The 9,412-nt window shown below is 41.8% G+C and overlaps 1 pseudogene; it reads right to left on the bottom strand.

Annotated features, from left to right (window-relative positions):
* RPS10P10 (ribosomal protein S10 pseudogene 10) lies at window positions 249-843 on the bottom strand (annotated as a pseudogene).

Below are 9,412 nucleotides of genomic sequence, written 5' to 3'. Positions count from 1 at the left end.
TGTAGAATCCAATAAATTAGACAACACTACCGGAGCATATAACTGTTATTTGCTTTGCTATCGTGCTTCTAATTGACATTTTAAAGCACTTTACTTAATTCATGTTAGCAGCCCCAGAAGTATCTTACTTGTAGGTTATTATTCTGAATAAAGTGCTGGTACTTAATTGATTATTTTTAAGGGTGTCCTTTTAAAATAAGGTGCATTTTTCTATATGATAGAACTTTGTAAGTGGCTTCCAATTTTTTTTAAGTTTTTTTTTTGCCTGTAAGTTTATTCAATGCAAAATAATCCTCTCTGATTTTACTGAGGTAGCTGACCACATCCATGACCAAATCTGCCTCTAAACTGGAATTTGGTTGCTGACCCAGCCCCAGCCTCAGCTTTCTCATCGGCACCAGGGGGCACAGCACTCCGTCTGTAGGAATGCTATGGCACAGGAAGCTGTCGGCTTCCCCTCTTGTGAGTCTTACAGGTCGCTCACCCTCCAGACCTTTAGGCTGAGGCCTGCCATTCTCTGGATGGCTGCAGCATAGAGTAACAGGCACAGTCTCCAGGGGCAGATGAAGGTAATCATGGAGATACTGGATACCCTCATTGGTAAGGTACCAGTAGAAATGCCTCCAGGCAAAATGTTCTGTGTTGTAGCCTCGGGACTTGAGAGACTGCATGGCCTTCATGACATGAAGGTTGGGCACATTCTTGTCTGCCAGCTCCAGGTGCTTAGGCATGTGGACATCCTTCTTGGCCACCACGACTCCTTCCTTAAAAAGGAGTTCATAAACGACAATGTGGTTCTTCTTAGGCACCAACATCTCAGTGGCTGTAGGGTCCAGGGCCGGGTTTTTTATAATTACGTTTAAGTATTATAAACATTAAGTTAAGAAAATACTACCCATGCTGTTGTTGGGTTTTCAGCAGTTCAAATCCCTCATAAACCTGGTTGCATTTCTTCCTTTGAGTCCTAGAATTTGTCCCTGTACCTGTACAATGTATTTCCCACTGTGTTTAAGATCACTGGAATTGCTTGCTTTTCTTTCTTTCCTTCTTTCTTTCTTCCTTCCTTCCTTCCTTTCTTTCTTTCTTTTTCTTTCTTTCTTTCTTCTTTCTTTCTCTCTTTCTTTCTAATTTTTATATTTTTGAGACAGGGTCTCACTCTGTTGCCCAGCCTGGAGCGCATTGGTGTGACCACAGTTCACTGCAGACTTGACCTCCCAAGCTCAAGCAGTTCTCCTGCCTCAGCTTCCTGAGTAGCTGAGACCATAGGTGCATACCACCATGCCTGGTTAATTTTTATATTTTTTGTAGAGATGGGGTCTCACGACGTTGCATACACTGATCTCAAACTCTTGGGCTCAAGCAATCCTCCTGCCTCGCCAGCCTGGAATTGCTTTCTATTGCTTGCAACCCAAAATGTTCTATAAGAAAGAGAGGACAGATTTTGTATATATTAAATGTTAACTACCTGGTAGGATATTTAATTTTGTTAATTTAATTCTCATGACATTCTTCCCTGGAAGTATCAAGTTCAAAGTGTTTAAGCGATTTGGAGAAGTCAGGATTTCAGCTCTGGTCTCCTGAACTCCAGAGCCCAAGCTCTCTCTCTTACTAAAAATCAAGAGAAAGAAACTGTCAATTGTCAGAAACTCAGAAATATTGCTCAAAAGCTAAACTTTGACATCTGTAAATTATAAAGGTACAAACAAAATATGACAGTTGCTTGCTTCTAAAATTTATCTCTGTCTCCTCTAAAGCATTGAATAATAAATGCCTATTTTTTTTAAGACCCTGCGTATCAGGATTCTAAGAACCTATACAGTTACTGTCATACCTCGCACAAAGCGAGTTCTCTGTGCAAGTTACGACATTGTTCTTACAAGGCTCATTGTTCTTACAAGGCCCATCATTTGGAAAATAGAGGCAACAAAGAAGAAATGAACGAAGAATAAAGGAAAGAATAGTGCATGCAAAACTACGTTTATATTTGGTGCTCGCTTTACTTTAGCTTTTTGTCCACAAGGAAGATACTCAAATTAAGACAGGAAAGTTTATGGTTATTCAGGGAAACAGGGATCACAGAACAGAAACCTAAGTATGAATGGGCATCAGAGAGTCAAGAGCAGAAGCCAAAATGACACAAGAGAGCTTGGCAGTGGGTTTGGCAGTTATTCCCACCTATGCTCCACCCAAAAGGGGACCTGGGTACTCTTTGTTCCTTCTTTGTATGTTTGTGCTTCTCCTCTTACCGCCAGCCAGCTTCCCTGCCCACTAATCTATGTTTTTCTCTACCTCATAGCTTGTTGCTCATGGTTTCTGCTTCTCACAACTTCTGCATACAGTGCTCATAGCTTCTCCTACACACTTATGGACCCCATGACTCCAGCTCCTCTTAATAGTACCTTTCCACTTCACCTTGGACTCTTAGCAGCCTGGCTGACTTCATACTTTCCAATTCAAAGCCCTGGAGCTACAGTCTGACTTCCTGAGCTCATCTTTACTTGGACAGAGCCTTGTTTATTTGTTTGTGGGTTTGTTGGCCAGTCCCTGTCAGTCAGAGCTGCCCAGGGGACCAGCTGCCCCTGGGTCAGATGCTCATCCCTGATCCATACACTTCTAGGTATTGTGTGTGTGTGTATTGGGGGGCTTGTAGGGAGAGTGGTAGAGACAAAACACACATTATAGAACTCACCACAGCCATCAGGGGCAGAGGTGGGCTGGTTTACCTTAGGAAAAGCTGTGGTAGCCCCCAGAATGGACATGTTTAGTTCAGGTTTTACCTTAAGTCTCTGTGTATTAATAAAATAATAGCTATCATGTGCCAGCCCCCTACTATGCGCTTAATACTATTCTAAAGGCTTTAACATACATAGTTCTGCACACTGCTACATAATACCTTTATCACATAGGCCCCCATTTTGAGGTGCTTTATGAAGTAGGCAGCCATTATGGAGTATTATTTCAATTTTGGAGTTGAAGAAACTGAGGCACAGACAATCTTCACTCTTAACCATGACATACATTAGAAGTAGAAAAGGGTTGGGGTTGTGGAGTTTGTTAAAGGAAGAAGGAAAGATATCATTCAGAAAGAGGAACTGGGGGAAGTTATTGTTTCTCTTTGGAATTTCTGATCCCTGATAAACTAAATATTTTTCAAGCTCCTAAACAAACAAACAAACAGCCAAGGATGGAGGGTGTTCCCCATTAAAACTAAGTGGCAGCACAATATTCAAGATGAAATTAAAGTGTCTGACCCTGGAGATACTCTAAAGAAGTCTTCTTTAGAGTCTTCTTTCCAAATGGAGGTTGGGAAAATAAACTCTCCACAAAGCGATGAAGGAGTACATTGACAAAAACAATACAGCCTCTCTCTTGCAATCTGGGTGCTTAATTGTCAAAGGGGAACAGCAAAGGCCAATCCAGATTTCATCTGATATTAAGATGTGAAAAATTCCCCTCCTCCAAGAAGATGTCCTTGATCATTTCAGGATCTCTCTTACCCAAGAACTCTTGAACTCCCATTGCATTTATTTTGTGGCTCACACCAGAATGCTGTCTGCAAAAGAGAAAAAGAAGGAATGAAGGAAGGAAGGAAGGAAGGAAGGAAGGATGGAAGGAGGGAAGGAAGAGAGAGGGAGGGAGCGGGAAGGAAAGGAAGGAAGGAAGGAAGGAGAAAGAAGGAAGGAAAAAAGAAGAAGAAATAATTGTGGTCCAATATCTAAGCCACTTTCTTGCAGCTATCTGAGCCACTTTCTTGCAGCTTCAACTGTGCAAGCAGCAGAGGCAACAGCAGCTGCCAAAATATTAGCATGAGTAACTTGTACAGATGCTAAAATCTAAAAGCAGACGTGCATCTGGGGGCCTTTAAAAATCCTTGCTGTGGGTGGTTGCCATGACCTCTTCCTTCTAGTGCTTTAATCTCTTTGCTCTTTGGAGGGTTTGTTCCCAGGTTCTGAGGAAGCTGGTGTATCTTTATGGCGTGGTCAAAGGCCATTATGTGTGGGTGAGTCCACTCAGTGATCAGAGGGAAGGGAGGGTAAACACAGTGAGGAAACAAGCTGCCAAATGAACTAAAACAAAACAGAATGGCATAGAGACCTCCTTGGTGACTATGCATTTGAATATCTCCACCTAACACAAACTGAAGAGTTCAAGGTGACTGTCTCCCTCTCAACCTCAGCAAAGCCCTTCTGTGGCGCATGGTGCTGTCTCTTGCTCTCTGCCTTGGTAAGAAGAAATGTGCAAATATGTTCCAAATCCATCCCCCATCCTCCTGTCTTTCCCTGCCAGAAAATAGTTACTACACTATTTCTATCACTATTTCTAACTGCAATTCTTCTATAAGGGAAATGCATAAGGGCTTTTTCTTTGTTTCTCTCAAACTCCAGCATATTCTTTTTATGTTTGTGTGCATAGGTTTTCAGGGAACAAATTCCCTGCAGAAGCAGGGTCACACACTGTATTAGTCAGGGTTCTCTAGAAGGATAGAACTAATAGGATAGATGTATATTTGAGGAGGAGTTTTTTAGGAGAATTGATTCACATGATCACTAAATGAAGTCCCACAATAGGCCATCTGTAAGCTGAGGAGCCAGGAAGCCAGTCCTAGTCCCAAAACCGCAAAAGTTTGGGTTTACAAAGGAAGTGGTTTCAGAAGAGGCACAAGCCATATCTGATTGAGAAACTTAAAGAAGATGATTCAGAAGGTATAATCAAAGTTGAGTCTTGAAAGGGAAGGCAATAGTGCAGCCTTCATCTGTGGCCAAAGGTTTGAGAGACCTTGGCAAATCACTGATGTAAGTCCAAGAATCCAAAAGCTGAAGAACTTGGAATCCGATGTTCAAAGACAGGAAGCATCCAGCATGGGAGAATGATAAAGGCCAGAAGACTTAGCCAGTCTAGTTCTTCCACATTCCTCTGCCTGCTTTAATCCTAGCCACGCTGGCAGCTGATCAGATGGTGCCCATCCAGATTGAGCATGGGTCTGCCTTTCCCAGTCCACTGACACAAATGTTAATCTCCTTTGGCAACACCCTCACAGACACACCCAGGAACAATACTTTGCATCCTTCAATCCAATCAAGTTGACACTTAATATTAACCATCATACATACTTTATCAGATCTGTGTTGAATTCTCCCCTATCAGTTATAGAATCGGAAAATGTAGACTTGAATGTTAGAGCCACTCTGTGTGTATTTGTGTGTGTGTGTGTGTTTTATTAAGGCCAAATTCTTTGTTAGCCAGAATTTGACTGTCTTTTAGAAAAAGAAAAACAACACTGATTCAGTAAGTTTTGCTTTTTTAATAGCACAGTGGTTTTCTCTTTGGGGGAATTTCTTTCTTGGGTGGGGTCTTCAAAAAATAGACACACATATATTTTCTTCACCTAGCCCAGGGTTTCTCAGCCTCAGCATACTGACATTTTGGGCCTACATTAGTCCGTTTTCACACTGCTGTAAAGATACTACCTGAGACTGGGTAATTTATAGACAGAAGAGGTTTAATTGACTCACAGTTCCATATGGCTGGAGAGGCCCCAGGAAACTTACAGTCGTGGCAGAAGGCAAAGGGGAAGTAAGGCACGTCTTACATGGCGCAGGAGAAGGATTGAGTGCAGGGGAAACTGCCACATTTAAACCATGAGATTTCGTGAGAACTCCCTCACTATTACAAGAACAGCATGAGGGAACCACCTCCATGATCCAATCACCTCTCACCAGGACCCTCCCTCGACAAGTGGGGAGTACAGTTCAAGATGAGATTTGGGTAGGGAGACAGAGCCAAACCATATCAAGGCTGGATAATTTTTTGTTGTGAATGACTGTGTTGTGCATTGCATATACATATACACATACTTGTTTAAGACAGAGTCTCACTCTGTCACCAAGGCTGGAGTACAGTGGCATGATCACAGCTCACTGCAGCCTTGACCCTCCTATGCTCAAGTAATCCTACCACCTAAGCCTCCTGAGTGGCTAGTACTACAGGCATGTGCCATCACACCAGGCTAATTTTTTAATTTTTTATAGAGACAAGGTCTCACTATGTTGACCAGCCTCAAGCAATCCTCCCACCTCAGCCTCCCAAAATGCTGGGATTAGAGGCATGAGCCACCACACCCAGCCTTCATTGAAGGATATTTAACAGCATTTGGGACTCTACCCAGTAGATGTCAATTCACTCTCACCCCAATATATAACAACCAAAAAGTATCCCCAAAGGTTGCCAAACATCCCCTGCAGGGAGTGGGACAAAAGCAACCCCAGTTGAGACATAGAGAAGAGACACAGGGCTCTCACACAGTAAGTACTCAATCTGTGGGTTTAAGTGTGAACAAACAAAAGTGTTTCCCACTGCTCTTGAGGATAAGGCACAGCATCTAATCTTGGGCTTTATCACTAATATGGTCTGGCCACAGCTTGCCAGGTAATTTGGATTTCAATCCATCCATCCCCTGCTTCTTTCTCTCCATCCACACTCACTGCTCTTATGGGGTTTAGCAGCAGTTAGTGCCTCTCTATATTATGACCTTCTTTCCTTTCTTGCAGGAACCTAGTTCCTGTTTATCCTTCACAGCTCACTCAAGTGACACATCCTCAGGGAAATGACAGTGAGATCCTCCCTTTATGGGTTTCACCCTCTGTTACAGCCACTCTTCATACTTTGTCTCTCCTTAGCTCATCTTGGTTGAAAGTTTGTATATGGCTGTGGATTTTTGATAAACGTCTCTCTTCCCCACTAGGCCGTCTGTTCCTTGAGGACAGGGACCACGACCAGCTTTATTTTGCTCTTCGATTCTCATTTTTCCCAACTGTTGCCCAGCATCCAGCACAGTTCCTGGATCACCCTGGATACAAGTATTTGAATAAATGAATATATGAATAAATGACTCAAAGGGCTGTTTCCTAGCAGACTATTTTAAATATCCTACTCCCTTGTTCCAGTAGGTAAAGACATTTGAATTCAGATAGTTGCTTACAATCAACAAGATGTCCTTTTATTTTAAAATCTTGACTTAGCTTTGTCCATTCAATCGATCCCTCAAAGATGTAGAAATAGCAATAATTTACAAGTGATAATTTGAATTAAAATCACCTAAATCAGAACACCCCAGAACAGTGGTTCTCAAAGATGAGTGCATTGAAATCACCAGGAGTGCTTGTAGGACTAAGGTGAGCCCGCCTCCAGAGTTTCTAAAAGTAGGCCTGGGATGTGGCTCAAGAATTTGCATCTCTATTCGGTTCCCAGGTGATGCTGATAACCCTGGTTGGGGCACCACATTTTGAGAACTTCTGTCCTAGAACAAGCAGAATCACAGAAAGCCTGTGGGGGTCTGAGCATCTCTCAGTTGTAGCTTTTTTGCAAAAAACAAACAAACAAACAAACAAACAAAAACTCTTCTAACTATTCTTATAACCCTTTTACTGAAAATTGAGGTTCAGAATGGTAAATCAGAATTAAAGTGGCATAACCACCCAGCTATCCAGTAAACAGCAGAGTCAAGAAAGGGATCCAGCCCTGATTACAAAGCCTGTGCCCTTTAGCTGTTCCTCTAACTTGCCAAATGGGAAGAATTGCTGAAGGCATTTGTTAATTGTACAGGCAAGTCTCCTGATGAACTGGGTTTGAAAAACCATGCACTGGCTTTACTTACCCAGAGACACAATTGCTGTGACTGGGACTACCCCTGGCCCCATCTTTTGCCTGAGCTACCCCGAGGCTGTTCCATCACTGAACTATGACACAAACCAACTTACCTGGTACTTCTTCTACTGGGATCTCTCCAGAGATGAGCAATAGTGTGCTGCAGTTATGCAAAGTTGCAGAGCAAAAAGGGCCCTTTTGATTTTTTTCCTTTTTTTTTTTTTGAGCATCAAGTTTTATTCCTTGGTGAGCAATTTAAGACACTTTTTAATTAAAAACAGGGCTATTATAGACTGTGTGTGTGTGTGAGAGAGAGAGAGAGAGAGAGAGAGAGTGTGTGTGTGTGTGTGTGTGTGTGTGGTGTGTTTAAGGTAAAACACAGACTTCAGCCGAGCCTCATGCTTGAGATAAATGAATCATTCCTCACCATCATACAACTCCAACCAGAAGTATTACAATATCTTTTCTACTGTTGGGGTAATTTGGTGACAAGTTTAAAAGCTTGTTTGAATCAATACATGAGAAAGTTCTAATATCAGTCAGGGAAACAGTAAGAACATCAAAGGATAATCTACTTTTTATCAGGGGTGTGAAGGTCAATTTCATTCCTGAATGGCAGATAAAAAGGTGAGTCAGACATCATTCGTACCTAACTTCATGAAATCACAATCCTTTGGGGCTAGGGTTGCCAGATAAACTACAGAATGCCTAGTTAAATTTGAATAACAGATAAGAATATTCCATGCAACACTTGGGATTATACCTATACTAAAAAAGTTATTTATTATTTATCTGAAATTCAAATTTAACTAGGTGTCCTGTTTTCTCTCCACCTAAGTCCAACAATCCTAAATGGGGCAGTAAGCGAGTATCTATGCGGTTATAATGCATTTCTGATACTGGTTGGACAATGAGAATTACTTCAAGAGAATTACAAAGGAAGTGGTTTCAGAAGAGGCAGAAGCCATATCTGATGGAGAAACTTAAAGAAGATGATTCAGGAGGTATAATCAAAGTTGAGTCTTGAAAGGGAAGCAAGATTTAGAAGAAGCAAGATCTGGGAGAGTGTTCCTGTCTTGAAAGCAAAGGTACAAAGACAGGAAAATATATAGTAGATTTAGTTAAAGGGAGTATAGATTTTGCATCAAGGACATAACGCTGGAAAGGGGTGATGAAGCCAGGGTACAGAGGTCACAGTGAGCTAAGGCACTTAAGGTTAATCAGTTCCATAGGGACTGGGGAAACTCTGATGGTTTCATTGGATCTGGGCTTCAAGGAAGGTTAATCTAGCAAGAGTTTACAGAATGGATTAGAAGGGCAAGATCAATTAGATGGCTATTTCCTGGTCTATGTCAGTGTTTTTCCAAATATGGGTTACAGCTTATTTAGCAAGTTGTAAAATCAAATAAATTGGTTGTGGCCAGCATTAAAAACACACAGGCTTAATAAAACATAAAAAAATTAGTGTATATCAGCAATCATCGCAGTTTAGTGTTGCTTTTAAAAACACTTGTTTGTTTCATGAAGGGGTGGGTGGTAAGTGATAGATTGTGATATAAAATGTGCTTCTTATGGAGTTGGGGTCCAAAATATTTGAAGGCCATTGGTGTATGCTGTGGATGCGTCAGTTGGTTTCTTTGCTTCGTCCATGCTACCTTCTCAAGGAATCAGTTCTCTCCCACTGATTTTGGCAGTGGCAGCTCAATGTGCTCTATGATCCCAGCTCAACCGAAGACACCTAGATAAGGGTGAACATCTAACCCAAGAG

Source organism: Homo sapiens, chromosome 3 (assembly GCF_000001405.40).
Source record: "Homo sapiens chromosome 3, GRCh38.p14 Primary Assembly".
Lineage (NCBI taxonomy): Eukaryota > Metazoa > Chordata > Mammalia > Primates > Hominidae > Homo > Homo sapiens.
This window is presented reverse-complemented; position numbering and strand designations above follow the sequence as displayed.